Raw genomic sequence first — 18,904 nt, 5'->3', positions numbered from 1 at the left:
TAGCAATAGATGAGAAAAAAATCTTTACTCCCCTACTATGCACATAGATACACACAAACACACACACAAACACAGGTACTGTACATTTCCATGCATACATAATTCTTTGAAGTGCAAGAATAGAAAAAAATGTATTTACTGTATGATAAATAAATAATTATATTTATATAAAGTGAAAGATAAGTCAACAGTAACCTCTATGAGGATGGTAGAATTAGTGACAGGAAATGGAACCCTGAGAATCTATCTGGTGTGATAGAAATATTTTATGTCTTGATTTGTGTAGTGGTTACCTTGGTGAATACATATATAAAATGCCATTGAGTGGTACATTTAAGACTTGCATATCTTAGTCTATGCTAATTATACTTCAAGAAAAAGTTTAACAATAATAATCAAAGGCAACAAGATACAAAAATAAGTGTCTTTAAATCAAGAAATATGTCTAAAGAACAGTTGAGAAAAACAAACAGTATCTTTTGTCAGTTTTTTTCTTTAGCCCTAATAAATTAAGGAACCTGTTGGCTTTTGTGTAAAGTTTACTAATGGTATCAGGCAGGCTGAACCTAAGTAGATATATTCAAATAGTAAATCAGTCCTAGACTCTTTTGCCATACTGTAGACATTCTGGTTTCTAGGCATTCTAAGATAAATTCTCTACTCCACTAGAAATCTCAGAAAGACCGGTTTCAGCACTAGGTTGATATCAAATGCTAGAACCCATATTCCAAAGGCTACAGGTCTCAAGAAGGCATGAATACAGACCATGATGTTGTTCCTGCCAAAATCTCCATCACATATCCATCACAAGTCTTTCATTTTCTCCAGCTTGTCCTAACAAACATGTTAACACACTGTTTGATACTTTTGGCTCTTTGTAAATTCTGTCCCCCTTAAATGAACCCTTCCACCCTTATTTCTTAGTTCAACTACTATGTGTTCTTTAAGGCCTCACTCTGATGTTGCCTACTTTTTTCAGCTAATGCACCCTCTATCTACTGGTGTACACACAACCCCCTAAGCTTATCTCTATTATCACGATCCATCCTCTGACATTATAATGGTCTGATGTTTTTTGTCTGATTCCCCAAATTAATCATGGGTTCCTTTAAAACACGCACAGTATCTTATATCTTTTTTGCTAGGACCTACTGGTATTTCTAGGTTGAACTCAATTAAAGTTTGTTGAAGGCAAGTTCAATGAAACAACCTCAAAAACTCACAAGTTGGACCACTCTATGTCTCTTGCCAAAACCTCCTAAAATCCAAACGACAAATTGGCATTTTTGTCTGAAATGTGAATTCAGAGAAAAAAGCAGTCAGCTCTTTTTGCAATATTAAAGAGGATGGAGTATTAAGAGGTTAAGGAAGTAATTTTCTCAGACAAATTACAAATAGTACAGTAAATTTAGTCTTGGAAACAGTATGTAAAACATCCTCCTTTTACAATTGACTAAGGAAAAAACAGTTTCTACTTAAAGTTAGAAGAAGGTCATTTTAACTTTAAAATTTCAATTAACCTACAGCACACACCTAATATCAGGAATATACTGAGCCTAAAAAATGCCCATCTTATTTAGAGGGTTTTTTCTTCCCTTTTCCAAATGAAAAGAGATTAACCAGCATCTGATTTTTGTTAAAGGACATTTAAAAAACCCCTTCAACCTTCCAAATTTATAAATGACTTTTCTTCCAGCCATCCATTTGGCTAACTTAATGGCCCTTTCAATTCCCTCTACTGATTTGCTTTCATATTAAGCCCTGTATTTAATAGTTTCAAGCACTTCTTTCTTATTGTTCTCACTCAATCCAAACTAATAATACTTTCTTACTGCACTAGGTACAGTTCTTCACAGCCCATAGGTGAGTTTGTGAGCTCCTGGCATGATCTACTGCTTGCAAGGAAGAGAAGTCTTAGCCCCAGCCTTTAATTCCTTCTCCCCAGTGATGCACCAAGTTCCTGCTTTCCTAAATGGTAAAAACAGATAAAAACTGTTTTCTTGTCCTTGTGATAAAAAAACAAATAAATTGCTGATGTCCTGAAAAAGGAAAAAAGTTAGATTTTGGACAAGTTTCAGAACAATTTGTTTTGGCAGCAGTTGATTCAAAAGATAGGACGTTTCAAAATGTTAAGACGCCTGTGATTTTTTTCTCCTTTTTCTTACTCGGTTTGTAGATTTATTTTTTTCAGTTTCAGATTTTAGACTTCACCTTTACTTGGCTCCCTTTCTTGTTCTTCTTCAAACTCTCCTCTAATAATGCCATTCATTGTTGTTTATCCTCTACATGAATAAAATAGAGAGGTATTTCAAGATCTTAAATTTGTTGTTTAATCATTTTAACTTTTGTACCCATAACTTCAAGAAGCCTGTAATTCCTTCTCTTTATTCCCTCACCTCTTCTTCTTGACAGCAGTCTTTCAAGTTCTTTTTGTCTACCTTGCACAGTTTTTTTTTTGTAGAAAATCAGAGAATTCTAGGGCTAAAAAACATTCTCAATAACCTCTTAATCCTGTCCACTCATTTTCTATATGAAAGCACTAGAATAGACTATCAAAAACATCTATCCATGCCTACTTAGCACCCTAGCTATTTTTTGTCACAACCAACACTGTAACTGATGTAGGTTAACTCCAGAACCAATCTGTTTTCTCTATTCTTAGCAATACAGAGTAATTGGTGGCGATTATAGGACTAGAAGTAAATTGAATCATGCTGTTAAGATAGCAAAATACCTGCCTCATTTAAGTTTCTCTTAAGTTATTGCTCAATCTGTATGTCTCAACATGACCTCATATGCAAAATCAACTTGGTATTCTAGAGGACAGTATTATTATTTATTCTACATAATTATGACTTTTTGTCACTTACAATGGCCTATTCTTCGAAGATACTCAAAAGTTCTATATGACTATAGTTCTCCTTAAGGTCTGTGGTATGCTCATATAAAAATTGGGAAGAGGTTGGTGGGAATTCTAGGGGATGGTATTCACTATAGACACATCACCACGTTCGTTTTTGTATTCACTTCACCAGACTTTTTCCAATCACTCAGACGCAATAAGTCTATGTAAAAAATCACCAATGATGTAGAGACATTGTCAAATTGAATGGTCAATTCTCAGTACTTCTGCCTAACTTCGCAGCAGTACATTGATGAAGCTGATGAAATCGCTCCACTCTAAAAACAGTTACGTTACCTGGTTTCCAATAAATTATACTCATATTATTTTTGTTCTTCCTCACTGGCCAGTCTGGCTTCTCTTTTCTTATCCTCGTGATGACAGAATATTCTAGCAAGTGACAGAATATTCTAGCAAGTGTCCTTTGGTCCCCTATTTTCTGTGTTACTTAAAATACCATCTATATTTCAATGGCTGCACAAAATTGAATTTTGTTTCCAGATGTCTCCCATAAACTCCAGGCTTATGTATCCGGTTGCTTACTTAATTGCAATTGCCTACCTTCAGATACTGAGATACTTGGATAGATACTTGGATGTCTAATAAGTATCTCAAACTTAACACCTCCAGAATTGGCATTGCTGTTTGTTCCCTTAAAACCTGCTCTAATGATAGTATTCTCCATCTCAGCTGATCATAATTCCATCTCTCTAGTTATGCAAGTAAAAAACCTTGCAGTCATTCTTATATATTTTTTCCTGTTCTAAATCCCTATTGACTTTAGCTTCAAAATATATTTTAAATCCAGACTTATTTCATTATCTTCAGCATTACACCCTGGTTCACCCTACTGTCATCTCTCATTTGTTTTTTGTTGCGGTGGTTGTTGTTTCTTTGTTTTGGGGGGAATAACCTCATTACCAGTCTCCTAGATATTATCCTTCTTACCCTATATTCTGCATTCAGCCTAATAGCCAATATGATCCTTTAAGTACATAAGACAGATCAGGTTATTCCTGTGCTCAAACCCTACAATGGTCTCTTACTTTACTCGTAATCAATAGCAAAGTCCATGCAATCACCTGCATGGTCCCATGAGATCTGATCCTCCTTTTATATCCTGACTTCATCTCCCTCTTCCTCACTGTGCTCCGGCTCACCAGTTTCTGTGCTGTTTCTCACCCATGCCCAGTGTGCTCCTTCATTAGGACCCTGGCAGTGTTTTCTATGCCCAGTACACTCTTTCCCTGATAGATACTTGGATAATTCCTTTATTTATTCAAATCACTTATCAAAAGACATCTTGATGAGAGTATCTTGACCACTCCATTTAAAATTGCAACACCCCTGACCACTGATGATTTCCCTTTTCCTGCTCTATTTTTTCTTACTTTATAGCACTTGTCAGGTGTGATGTTAGCAAAATGGCAGAGTAGGCAGCTCCAAGCTCCTGTCCCTCCACAGAAATATTGAAAAGCAAGTAGAAACTGTCAAAACCAATTTTGTCAGAATGCTGAAAACTCAAAGGTTTACAGCAACCAAGTGAACATTAAATCAAGAAAAAGACAAATAGGATGGGAAAGCTTTGTGACATTTTTACTTGTCTTTGTCCCACCTCTTACCAGGCTTAGCAGTGGCCCTGAGAACAGAGGTCAATGTGCCTATTGTGGGATCCTCATATAGGGTTCCAGAGGGAATAAAGACGAATTTATTCACAAATTATTGTATTTGTCTGTTCTAATTTGTCTGGGGGCTACCTGAAGGATGGACAAAGTTTATTTGTTTCTTTTTCACCTAACTCAGAACTTCTCAGGGTGGAGAATAGGGAGGCATTGCTAGAAAACACTGTGAGGTGAATGAAAAACCCACAGCCACCTGGGGCAAAGGATTAAAGTTGAGGCATGCAATATACAGCATTAAGCCTAGGAGAAAAAGCTGGAAAGAGTTCTTTTGAAAAATGAGGGCATTGAAAAGTACCTATGTAAAATAGAGAATTTAGAAACCCACGGGCATGTCCAGGGCAGGGTGTACACTCAGAAAAGACCTGAGAAGACCTTAAGCTTTCACTGGTGACTGACCTAGGTCAGGGCAAGCAGGAAGTGAAAGATAAGGCACAGTTATGAGGGGCCTAACTAAGGGTTGACAGAATGTCCCAGCACAGGACCAATCAGCAAAGACTGGGAGTGTTTTTTTGTTTTGTTTTGTTTTTGTTGTTGTTTTGTTTTCTTTCTAATAGTCCTGACATTTAGAGAAATCTCTGACAAGACACTGGCTGAATATAAGGTTAAAAAAAAAAACAGATTTCAGTAATCACACATGACAAAGAATACAATCTTTGCAGAAATAGTATGGAAAAGTCACTAAACAAACTTGATTGTAGCCTTCAACAATCAAGAACATTATACTAAGGGGAAAGTGGAAAATCCTATTTCTAGAGCTACTACATCATAAGATTCCAATGCCAAGGATTTGACAACAGAAATTTTAAAAAATACAAATAAATAGGAAGATATGGCTTATTCAAAGGGAGGAAAAATGGACAGAAACTGTCCATTAAGAAGCCCAGACATTGGACTTACTAAACAAAGAATTTAAATCAATTATCTTAAATATCTCAAAGAGCTACAGGAAACCATGGACAAAGAACTAAGTGAAAATAGGAAAAAAAGACATGACCAAAATAAAAAGTATCAATAAAGAGTAGAAATTACAGCTTTTACCACCCCTATTATTGTATATAATTTACTTACTTATTGTGCCTATTGATTATCATCTGTCTACTTCTGCTAGAGTGTAAATTCATACGTTAGCAAAGATCTCTGTTTTGTGGTCACCAGCAATTGGCCATAGTCAGTGTCTGACAAACAGCAGACAGTTAACACTTGAAAACTGGATGAATGTTATCTTCCATATCCAACAGCCCATTACTTATAACTTTGCAATATATAGAGATGCTAATGATGATGTGATGACAGTGAAATCAATTTTTAGGGGGGAGGGAGAAAGACGGGGGATGGAATATTACAATGTGGATACGATAACTTAGGGAGAAAGTTGCTGCTGACATAGTTAGATGAATCATTTTATAATCCTGAGCACACATTATACACATAATCAGTTCTCAATTGGGCAAGGGTCACATGAAATTCAAGATTTTAAGCTTTGAGGTATTAAATGATTTTAAAGGAAAAATCTACCCAGTGTCAGATGTGCTTATTCAATGAAACCCTCCAATAATATAATTGATGTCTAATTTCCTAGACCTGAGAAATGTTTTATCAAGACACTGGCGTTCTGCTTTTTTCTTTAGAATTAAAATTCAGGATATCAATATTTATACATTTCTAATTTCAACACAAAGGGTATTTGTTTAAAATATTAAATCTCTCTCTCTCTCTCTCTCTCCATTTTACAACTTTGCTGCCACTCATGAACCACAAGCTGTACTGACTTCATGATTGTAAGAGCATTCGTTAGTTTATATTTTCCCTTAGGGACAATTCTTGCATGGATATTTTCACAAAGTTCATAATTTCTATAAAAAACGCATGTGAAATAGCTTCACCTTATAATAGAAATTTACCAAAATATTATTTCCTGTGGTGATAAATATAGGGATATATATTAATAGCAAAGGTAACAATCTGTCTTGAAGCTATCTGAACTTTCACTCTACAGTAATGACTTATACTCCTTATTTTTAAAAAAATCATCATTTTGTAAGGCCCATTTATTCAACAGATATTTTGTAAGAGTCCATTAATTTACAGGTAATATTCAAGTGCTGGGTATACAGAGGTGAATAAGAAAGGTATTTTATTAAGAATACCTTAGGTTGCATATAACAAAATATATAGCTTAAAAGGGGCTTAAAGATAACAGTAATTTTTCTAACATAAGAACAAATACTAATGTAGATAATTCCAGGACTGGTTTGACAGCTTAAGTAAGGTCATCATGGGCCTAGGCTTTTTGCTTTTTCTATCTGTCTTTTCTGCCTTCCTCTGGTATTAATATTTCCTTTCTGTGAAGATGGCTATAGCAGCTCCAAGTATCCTGTCCTCACATGATAACATTAAAAACAGGAGGAGAGGCTGGGCGCAGTGGGTCACGCCTGTAATCCCAGCACTTTGGGGGGCTGAGGAGGGCGGATTGCCTGAGGTCAGGAGTTTGAGACCAGCCTGACCAACATGGTGAAACCCCATCTCTACTAAAAATACAAAAACTAGTTGGGCGTGGTGGCAGGCGCCTGTAATCCCAGCTACTTGGGAGGCTGAGGTAGAAGAATTGTTTGAACCCGGGAGATGGAGGGTGCAGTGAGCCGAGATCACATCACTGCATTCCAGCCTGGGTGACAGAGTGAGATAAAAAAAAAAAAAAAAAAGAAAAAAAGAAAAAAAAGGAGGAGAAGGCAGGAGTTTCTCATGTGAGAAGGGTCACTGCATACCCTGGTTTGGCTGGGACAATCACAGTTTATGGCCCTTTTACTTCTAAGGTGTTCTGGTTTGGATAAAATGTTATATAGTTGCCCTATTAACATGACATTTTTTTTTTCTAAGGGAGGGAAATATCTCTATGAAGTTCCCTCAGATAATGTCATCATCCATCCCAATGGTCAGGATTAAGTCACTTGTTCATCCTCTAACTGCAGGGAAGGTTGGGTAAGTCAGCATTTGGCATTTTAAACCAACATATTGGGAGAAGTTTTCTGCTTATCAAAAAGGCCAAGAGAATGTCAAGAACATCAGTCACAAATGACAAATCCACAGTCTCCTTGAGGTAACTGGAATTTCACCAAGCTACAGTCTGCAGGAATAAATGGAATAATATCACTCGACCCTACCAAGCCCCAGGGACACTTTCCCACATGGCTCTTGCAGTATGTCCCCAAAGGTTGTCCACCTACTTCTCTCATATGAGTCTACTGATTGCCTCCCTTCCTTTTGAGGAACTGCTCTCTTCTTCTGGGATCCTCTGGCCACAGTAGCACTGCCAAGACACTGCCAAGTAGCATGTTTTCTACTGACCCTGGAAGCCCCTCCTTTGCATTGCTGCCAAGACACCGCATGTGGTGTCAGAGCTGTTCAGACATCTGTGGCAAAGTAAGGGACAGGGCATCGCTCATCATTTATTGCCCGCTGTTAAAAAGTTCCAAAGCACTGCTCCTAGTGTCCTAAATGCTACCAAAGGTTTCAGTTAAACAGAGCTTGAGGGAGACAGGACTCAGATTCATCAATATTCAGCTCTCCTTTATTTTCATAAACAAGCTCCTTGAAAGGAAAATTTGCTATGACTTTGTTATTGGTTAATGATAGAGGAGGAGAAATCATGGACATTTCTTACAGGTAAAAGCATTTGTGAGTAGTGTATGTGAATCTACCACTCTCTTTCCAAAGCTGTACAGTGGTGAAAGAAGAATGTGTTGAGGCCGGGTGCAGTGGCTTATGCCTGTAATCCTAACACTTTGGGAGGCTGAGGCTGGCGGATGACTTGAGGTCAGGAATTCAAGAACAGCCTGGCCAACATGGTGAAACCCTGTCTCTACTAAAAATACAAATATTAGCCAGGTGTGGTAGCACATGCCTGCAGTCCCAGCTACTCAGGGAGGCTGAGGCAGGAGAATCACTTAAACCCGGGAGGCAGAGGTTGCAGTAAGCCAAGACTGCGCCACTGCATTCCAGCTTGGGTGACAAAGCGAGACTCCATCCCAAAAAAAAAAAAAATGTATTGAAACACAAGTGCCATAAGATTGAGACGGCCCAGATTGCAGAACAATACAGGGAGGATAAATGCCCTGGGAAGTCTCCTAGAACCACAGAAGACTTTACATGGGTGAGAAATATTCATGCATTCCATTAGTCCATTGAGAGTCTATCTGTTGCCACTATGTAGCTTAGCCTATCAGACTGAGATCCTTTCTTATGTATGGTCTGCCTGCCTGTTCCCTGTGGGATTTCACCTATGAGTCCAGTGGATGCTGGCCTTGGAAGAGGGAAGTTTGTCTTTTCCTTTTGACAATGAAAACTTATTTACTGGATCTGGCTCATTTTATCATTCTTCCTGTAGAAGAAGTTGTCTCTCAAAGCTCTTCTCAATTCTCAATTAGATTTCTGGAGAATGACCGCATAGTTCATCTACATTTCCCAGGTATATTTGAATCTATCTTTTTTAAAAAGATTTTTCTCTTTACTATTTTATTCTTGACCTCTAGAACTTGTTCATAAAGGATATATGTATCATTTTGATCCTACTTAATAACCTTGATATATACAAAGAATAACTAATTATATGTGACAGATGCTTCAAAGTGGAATAGACACAGCACACCTGAGGGGATGAGATGTGGAACAAGGCTGATGTGATGAGGAAAGGAAAGTATGGAAGGGTAGATGAGACTTATAATGGGGCTCAGAGAATGCAGAGATCTCATGCGAGAGGGATAAGGGAAGAGAGAAAAAAGAGAGTGGAATGATGTAGGCTAAATGGCACTTGGATAGGGTATAACTCAGAAACCATAAAAAGTGGAACAAAAGGCCCTGAAGAAGCTTTCAACCATATTTTCAAGTAGTTTGGGCTCAACTATATTTTTTCAAGTAGTCTGGGTTGCAAGTGACAGAAACCCACTCTGCCACAAATAGCAGGAGTACAGGTTTATCATGCAGTATCTCATTGCTCTCTTATCAAACAAGGTGATAGGGCCAAAAGACATACGCATTGCTTAGAAGCAGCATTGTGGTTCAAGGCAATATTTTCTTTCTCATTTTTTTTCCCCATTCACCTAGAGAAACCCTGTGACACAGGTAGACCATTGCAGGTAATCAAGAGAAGCTAAAGTAGGGCATATCTAAATTGGAGCCAGGAATATTTTAGTTCAGATCTTCACAGCTTTGTTCTTTCCAGTTTTAGGAAAAATAAAGAATTCATTCAAATCATAAGTAAAAATTACTATTATTTTTAAAAAGCTAGCTCTTTAATGCTGGGTCCAGAGTATGTTTTGTCTATTCCTACATACATTGCAGATTTAACTCATGAACCAAGCTGTTCTACAGTCCCATTTGAAAATCATCACCAATTGTGAGAGTCATTATAGTTAGTTTTGAAAATCTACCCTTCATTATACTAGCTTCCTAATGTTAATGAGTATGGAAGAGATGAAATTATGCTGGTCCATGACCCTTGTTGGCCATAATTAGAGGATGCCTAGGACAGCCTCCTTTCAGAGAAGCAGAGCACTTTGGAGGATGAAGAGTTGAAGGCAACGTAGGCCATTAGTACTCTGCAGATTCCTTGGAGGCTGCAGAGGATTATTAAGAGTCTAGTTAATGGGGCAACACATGAGTGAGGAAATGCCAGGGATTCCTTGGCTCATCAGACAATGCAGACACACTAAAAATTACAGAAGTGTTTTGGCTCAGGAGCTGGAGGAGTGCTGCCAAGTTCTAGAGACATTCCCCAGATTTCCCATAAACACTGGGCAGGCAGCGGGACCACAGCCACCCCTCCAGGAAACTGGCTCCTTTCATCATTAAATCGAAAGGGGGGAAATGACACCCTTGGCTAAGAAACACTAAAGTTCCCTTTTTCCACAAATGGAGAATAAGTACAGATAGAAGAGAAAGGCCACTTTCAAAGAGGCAATAAATCTGCCAGCATTTTGGCCTAACACAATTTCTGCTTATTTTGAATGCATACTCAGAAAAATGCCGGCCGAAAATCCAGATGTTTGCTGAACGTAGTCATGATATGGATCTAAAGGGAAAAAAAGGTAGATTACTGATTGGCTTTTCCCTTCCATCTGAGGGTATAGCATTATACAACACAAAGATATAGGAATGGAGCAGTATCATGAATATTTGAAAAATATTCTACCCCAGCATAATTCAATATGAAACATCTGCAAAACAGGAAAAAGATAAAAGGAAACAAACAAGAAAACAAGCAAATGACTGTAGGGAAGGACAGGAAAACTTACTTGCCCACATAGGCTCTGCTCCATTTATAGTTTTATCTTAGATTATTTCATAGTTTTGTTCAGAAGCTTTGGCATAACTGAATGCATTTCTTCTTTTTTAACTTTCATAGAAGTGACACTGTAAATGCATAGATGCTATCTTAATGTTCTGTCTGCTACGAAAGTGAACAAAACTTGATTGTTCTTTATAAGAAATGTACCTAGGCAATATGGCTAGATGGAAGCCACAGCATTTTTGTACATGGCCACAAAAAATCTTCACTCTTCTCTGGGTGAGATTAGAAAATTTCATATGAACTCTTGCTATTCCATCACATTCTAACATTGTTTTTAAAACAGTGCTCTCCAATTTCATTCTTTGGAATCTTAATTTTTACTTTGCTAGTTCATGATGCTGTTCTTTGTCTGATTTTGTAAATTTGTATATTTCTATATCTACATGAAAATAATATTTTACCTCAATAATTTGTTAAACCTTTGAGATAACCCAGTAAGTTCCCTAAAATATCAGGCATCAGGGGTTAATGGCCATGGAATATGTGCATTGTGTCTACATGGCATCCACAGCCTAGGAAGAGAGGACCTCAGTTGAAGCCCTGAAAGTTCTTCGTTTTCCTTGAATCTCACCCAACTCTTGCCCTTCACCCCTCCTTACAGTCACCTGAGTGAACTTCTAAACCTTCCAATGCCACCACAATCACATCTCACACATGCGGATGCTCTTCAGATTTTCAGCATAAAGTAACAAACTCCTTAGTACAGTTTTCAAGACCCTTTGCAATGCAACTTCTGGCCCACTTTCAAACTGATTTTGTGCCATGTCCTTATATGATCTGCGATTCCTCCATCCCTCCAGACACATAATCACTTAAGAATGTGTTTGAGCACCTACAACTTTCAGCAAAGAACCATGTGCTGGGGGTACGATGGTGCATAATAGGGATATTTCTAGACAGAGACAAGTAAAGAGGTAGTTCCAACAGTAGGAGATGTGTGGGATGCCATAGAAGGAATGGAAGGGGTTTCTAACCCACACTTGGTTGGGGTGAGATGGCCACAGATGGCTCCCATGAAAAATTAACATCTGAGACCCCCAAAATAAATAGAAGTCAATCAACCAAACAGTGTAGCAATGATTAGTACTCTAGAAGAGGAAAGGGTCTCCCCAGTGTCTTGTAAATAGGAACATTCTTAAAGAACTGGAAGGATTTTAAGAAGGCAGGAGTGCAGGACAGTGCTGCAGAATGAATTATTTGTATTTTCCCTAATGTGTCCTGTTCCTTCATTTCCCTGTATCTCTGAGGGAACTTTCATCCCAGTTATCACTTCTCGCATCCAACGATATCTTCCCCAACCATATCACCACCACCCTAGGAAAGCCTCCATGGTAACTCTCTGTGCCCTCCATACTGTACTTACAATGTTTCCCATGTAGTCTCTGCCTGTTCTGACACCTGCACTCAGCTCTGTATGCTTTGAGGGTGAGAATTTTGAGTCCTCATCTTTTGTTTTCCTGACTCCTAGCACTGAGCAAGGCACACAACAGATACACAGTTTTTCCAGTGCAAGGAATGGAGAAGGTTAAAATATCGTCCTTTATTCTTGCAACCCATCTGCAAATGCATTGGTCTGGGTTGTAAGATAGGCAATCTTTTCTGGATATGTACTGGGGAATGAAATTAATTCAAAGCCTCCCAGTGAAAACATGGGTGACTCATGAGATTTTTATCTCCTCCAGATAACAGAAAGGAAACAGTGACAGAACCACAACCTGATTTGTCTAAAAAGCCTACACAGAACATGCAGCCTTCTGAGGAGAATAATTAATTAGATTTGAGTGGAGAGAGAATAGAAAATGCAAATATTTGATCCCTTTTTGAGTGAGAGGATAGAGTTCTTTTTAATGCGCAAAGCATGTTTTAGAGAATCTTTGGAGACATGGCCCATCAGAAAAGGAACACAAAGCAGGCTATCAGCAGAGAAGCTCCTTTTACACAGCGTCTTCTTTTAGAAACAACTTTTCTTTCCAAATTAAAGAATAACATAACTTATAATCGGCAAATTTTGTCAGATTACAGGGTGGCAACAGACACTCTTTCCTACTTCTGCCTCTCAAAATATCTTTGCAGTAGCAAGGAAGGCAAAGAAAGAGGCATAAGTTTAGAAAGGCAAGAAAAGGAGAGAGTGAAAACAAAAGGGACCTAGGAAGGTGAGGGGATGCTGGTGCCTGAGAGAGGTGGTGTGCTGTATTACAGCCTCCCTGAGCTGGAAGGGACCTTGAGAGATAAGGGGGGAAAGGGTTCTTGTACTTCTTCTAATAAGGAAATAATGGATGCGTTACAAAGTGAAAGGATTCTCTTGGAAAACGTAGCTCACTTATACACACTTGGATGTGTATACTTTACTTATTAATGATAATGCTCTCCTCTCAGAAAGTTCCTATGGCATGAATGAAAAAGAAAGAATGTTTTTGCTAATCGTGATATTATGAAAATAATATGATCTCCTCAAAAGAGGAATTTCAACTAAAAGAACAGACCAGGTGTGTGGCCTCATTTGCATTTCATGGCTATAAGTTTGAAACAACCCCACATGAGTTTGGTAAAAATGCCAAACCCCTAAAAAGTCACATGCTTGGCCATTCAGCATGGCACCAGAACTTCTCTCAGCAAACCTACTGCTGATGAAACCCATACCTTCCACCGTGGCTCGCTTGGGCTGAATGGTGATGGCCCCTTCTGCGATATCTTCATGCTGGTGCAGTGGGTTTATTTTGGATCCCCAGCTGTCTGATCCCACCCAAAGAAAATGGCCAACTTGGTCAGCTCTTTTGGCTGCTGCAAGGATCTGCCTGTGGAAAGAAATATGGAAAGTTATATTAATGATAAAGAACGTCAGCTGAATCCGTGTAGATTGCAAGTCAGCAAAAGGAAAGGTACTATTCTTCCTCAAAAAGTAAATAATTGCAAAAAACTTGATAAAGAATTTATATCCCTAATATATAAAGATATTTTGTAAACCAATAATGAAAAAGCATCTTCAGAAACAAGAGCAAGTAATAGTAATTGTTAAAAGATAAAAAGATAAATACAAATGTCCAATAAGGTAAAGACACATATTTACATATGTTAGAAAGGATGGAAGTGCAAATTAGACAAAGATACCAAATTCATTTCACATATTGGCCAAAATGTTTGTTTTGTTTTAAGAGTTTTGGCTTGGGGCTGGAGAAATGAGCACTCTCATTTACTGCTGATGGTATACACTATCTCTGAAAAGCAATATGATTATGAATTAAAGATGTTAATTATTTATTAAAATAAACAGAACTCCATGTGAAACATGAAAAATTTATAACTTGTGTATGATTGAAAGTATTATATATACATAATCAGGACAATGGGAGCAAATAAAAGAAAAAAGGGAACTAGCTATTAATGAAAAAGTTATTGCAATAGTACTTTTGGAAGAGGGGATTGATGAGATGTAACTGCATTGGTAGATCAGAAAAAGCTACAACTGAAGCCCCTTTGGTGGGTAAGACCACAGGATAAGTGGTTTGTTTGTCTCTTGGGACTTGGGAGTATCAGGCACCACAGAGCTACATGGCTAAATGCAGGAAGATTGGGTCAAAGATTGTGAATAAGCTGACAAAGGCCAGTTCTACTTTTTTTTCTTCCAGGCAGGAAATGACAGTTTTCTAAAGAAAAAAATCATTCTCAGTAAACTATCGCAAGAACAAAAAACCAAACACTGCATATTCTCACTCATAGGTGGGAATTGAACAATGAGATCACATGGACACAGGAAGGGGAATATCACACTCTGGGGACTGTGGTGGGGTCGGGGGAGGGGGGAGGGATAGCATTGGGAGATATACCTAATGCTAGATGACACGTTAGTGGGTGCAGCGCACCAGCATGGCACATGTATACATATGTAACTAACCTGCACAATGTGCACATGTATCCTAAAACTTAAAGTATAATTAAAAAAAAAAAAAAAGAAAAAAAAAAAAGCAGCAGCATAGGAAATAGGTTCTGATATTGTAAACACCAAAATAGTAAAAGGTGGATAAGAGATGGTAACAAAAAAACACCAAAATAGTAAAAGGTAGATAAGAGGTGTTAAAACTGCAGATGGGGATGGGAGGGAATGACTAAAAGTCAGTATAATAGAAATTGAAATGTTAAGACACTCTAGGAATTTTAAACTTCTGCTCACAAAATGCTGGGAACTAGGGGTTTGTCACCCCAGGTAGAAAATAATTTTTCTGTAAAAATCTGATACATATCAGAAAGTAGACTCTAGATATTGTTATAAAGAAGTCCTCTGATGGAATGGCCAATCTGATTCCCTGGGAACCCCATCAGTTGTCATGCACTGCCCGTGGGCACAGAGCTTTTTACTGCCTTATTCATATGTGAATTGCCAGAAGACACTCATTATTGAGGAAAATCTCCATTGCCAAATAGAAATATTAACAAGGAAAAGGAAATGTGTGAGGTGGAGCAGAGATAATATATGGGAAAAAAAACAAAATAATAAACACATTTAAATGAGAATGATCATATCTTTAATCAAGAACATGATACGAAAAAATAACAAGAAACAGCTCTTTTTGAAAATATGAAATGAAAATTAAATTGGCATAGATATAAAGTGCAGAAAATTCTCTAGAAAGCAAAACAACAAAAAGTTGGAAAATAAGAAATAAGATTCTTCTTCCTCTTACCAATAATCAACCCAAGAAGACCTATATCCAGCTAACATTTAGAGAAAAAAGAACGTACAGAGAAAATAGAGTAAATCTTTAAATATTATTTTTAATAAATAAAGAATCAAAAAATTGAAAATACAAATTTTCAAGTTTAAAAACTTAGCCGCATAATGGGAGGAAAATCAAGCACATCACGAAATATAAGACCTCTGTAAATAATGAGAATGTTCTAAAAGCTCTTCAAGAGAAAATGAGAAGACATGCAAAAAAAAAAAAGAAATGATATTATTAACCTCTCAAGAGGCAAAAAAAAAAAAAAAGGATGGATGATGGATGATGGAGCAATGGCTTCAATATTCTGACAAAAAGACTTTAAAATTTTAACATTTAACACACAAAGAATCTCAATACAAATAGAACTTGCATATTTGTTCAGTAGCTCTATTAGATTTTTCCCTCCGCAATTAGAACCCTAAGTTCCCTATAAGTTAAGAGTTCTGCAACTCATTAGTCACAACAGCTATTTGTTGTAAATCACTTCTTTACCACGTATGATGCATTGATTAATAAAAATAAATATGAGGCCGCACATTACCACCCTAACTACTAATTAAGGGTAGAGGCAGAATGAGAACATTTTTTAGATGTAAAACACATGAAAAAGTTTTCCCTTAATTTACTCTTAAAAAAAAAAAGAAGCTACAGGATATGCTCCAGCAAAATGAGGAAATAATTCAAGAATAAAATTCAGTTAGGGTCCAGAAAAAAGGAAGTGGTAAAACAAAGAGAGAGTGAGAGGAAGAAACTCTTCAAATGATAATAACTGATCCAGATTAAAACAGAATAATGGAAATTTCAGGAAGAAATATTCGGGAAAAATAAGGCAACTCAGATAATCTTATATATGAACATATGGAGAAAAGTGAAAGGCCTATAACAACAACAGAAAAAATATTAAAGATAACAATGAAAGTATGAAGACTGTCATATTAACTCCAAAAAACAACAAAATGTTTTCCAAAAAAATAACTACCATAGAAAAAATACTTGATGCTGTAGTGCATCATATTTATATAATCACAATAATGTAAATACTGATTTTTGTCAAATTAAAACCTGATAGATTATGACTATAGAGATAGGAATAAGTTCTGTTTAACATAAGAATTAGATAATATTTAAAATTAATAATTTAAAAATTGTAACACGTACACATTATGCAGATAAAACCAGAAGAAACAGTTTAAAGAGTTAAAGTAACTGCCAAAAGAGAACAGAACCAGGAAGCATGGTGAGATGGAACAGGAGACTAATGTTTTGCATCAAAAGTACTTTAGTCATATTTTAGTTTTTTTATGTATTTATTATTTTCATAAAAATAGAATAATCAGCTGGGCACGGTGGCTCACGCCTGTAATCCCAGTACTTGGGGAGGCCAAGGCAGGTGGATCACAAGGTCAGGAGATCAAGACCATCCTGGCTAACATGGTGAAAGCCCGTCTCTACTAAAAATACAAAAAATTAGCTGGCCATGGTGGCGGGCACCTGTAGTCCCAGCTACTCAGGAGGCTGAGGCAGGAGAATGGCATGAACCCGGGAGGTGGAGCTTTCAGTGAGCTGAGATCGCGCCACTGCACTCCAGCCTGGGCAACAGAGCGAGACTCTGTCTCAACAAAAAAAAAAAAAAAAAAAAAAAATAGAACAATCAAATGTTAATACTTCTGGCCTAGAGATACCACTTTGATAATGTATCCAAAAATGATCAAAGATGCTATCAAAATGTCTGTTCATTACTGGAGTTAACCTAAGTACAGAGCAATGGGAAACTGGTTTAAAAAAAAAGACAATACATCCAAAGGATGAATTCTAGAGCAATTACAAATATACTTAGTTTGATTTCCACAAGGTATCAAACTAGATACTACACATTAAAAAAGAAAATTAAAATTAAATACATGATAAAAGATTATTTAATTTTCACAAAATAAAAGCTGACCAAAAATTGCCTGTATATGTGTATATATGCATAGTTAAAAGCATAGAATCATATCAAGGCACCAAAAATATAAAACGACATACAATTTTTATTAACATGTTTGGGGAGGTGCTGACGAAGTTTGAAGAGAAAGGTAGGGATAAGCCAAGTAAAACAGGAAAAGAAAGTAAAAACTGATACAAACACAAAAGTATGTTCAGTTTAGTATATTTATGTAAAATTTGGAGGTTATAAGAATATAATTAAAGCATTTAAAAGTACTTGTGATATGAAATGATTAATCTATAATATGAATTGTAAAAGATGACAAAATTCTATGTGATCTTTATTCTGTTGAGGAAAATTTGTGTATGTATAAAAAAACTTATTGCAAAAATTAAACCAGAATTGTATTAGCAGTTATCTCTGAGTGCTGGAATTGCAGGTTTTATAGAAGATTATTTAAAATTATTGTTTGTGATTATTCTCCTTAACCTTTAATTTTTCTAGCAAACTGGAGGCAAAGTAAAATGTAAGGGTTCCTTTTATTGAAAAAAAACAATAAAAAAACTTTTATTTTCCAGTGGATTTACAATGAGCATGTGTTCCTTTTATAATCAGAATAAATTATTTTAGAAAAAGAATCCACGCTTGTCTAAAATCCAAATCATCTATACCCATGACTGATTTAGCACTTATCTTAGCTTTAAAATCTAGATATTAATGTCTTCTCACTGCTAGCCTTTGACAAAGTATCTGAAGTTAACGTTCCAAGAAACCTCAAATTTTCCCATCTACAATGTAAATCTTCCGAAGAAAGAAATAACGTAACATTATGGGTTATCAGTACACTTCACACACTGTTTAAGATCATGTTTTAGAATAAATTTTTATATGCTGTTGGCTTTTAGTACTGTGCTCAAGAATAATTATTGTCATCACTATTATGAATGACAATATACAATAATGTTTAACACACAAACAAGTCCAATGCAAAAAGAATGGGTATAATTATTGAATATCATTATTGAATACAGTTTACATCCAAATATGAAAAACTCACATTACTTGCAAGTCAACAGTATTATAACCAATTAGTTACCAGAACTAATTGCCATACATCTTTTATGTGCCTTGTGCAATCTATTTAAAAACAAACATGAGACCATATTTTACCAAGGTATTACATATTTAGCAAAAGTGTAAAATGGGTGTTAAAAGGACTTATAAGATGAATAAGAAGGGTATTAGCAGATATTTTTTAAAGTACTGGAACAGAAAGAGTAATATTATGAAAACAAAATCTCATAGAAACCTAAAATACGAAGTGAGGAA

At 36.5% G+C, this 18,904-nt stretch overlaps 1 protein-coding gene across 7 annotated transcripts in view; it reads right to left on the bottom strand.

Annotated features, from left to right (window-relative positions):
* Nucleotides 1–18,904, bottom strand: part of GRM7 (glutamate metabotropic receptor 7) — an 880,419-nt gene that overhangs the window by 421,311 nt on the left and 440,204 nt on the right. For all 7 annotated transcript variants that reach the window (XR_001740135.3, NM_181874.3, NM_000844.4 and 4 more), the window contains exon 4: nucleotides 13,571–13,725. Coding sequence is in view for 6 of the 7 variants with exons in the window: in NM_181874.3 (NP_870989.1) it covers nucleotides 13,571–13,725 (155 nt within the window). In the remaining variant the exon portion in view is untranslated. The remainder of the gene's footprint in view (nucleotides 1–13,570; nucleotides 13,726–18,904) is intronic.

Source organism: Homo sapiens, chromosome 3 (genome assembly GCF_000001405.40).
Source record: "Homo sapiens chromosome 3, GRCh38.p14 Primary Assembly".
Lineage (NCBI taxonomy): Eukaryota > Metazoa > Chordata > Mammalia > Primates > Hominidae > Homo > Homo sapiens.
Note: the sequence above shows the minus strand (reverse complement) of the source record. Positions and strands in the feature narration are given on the sequence as shown.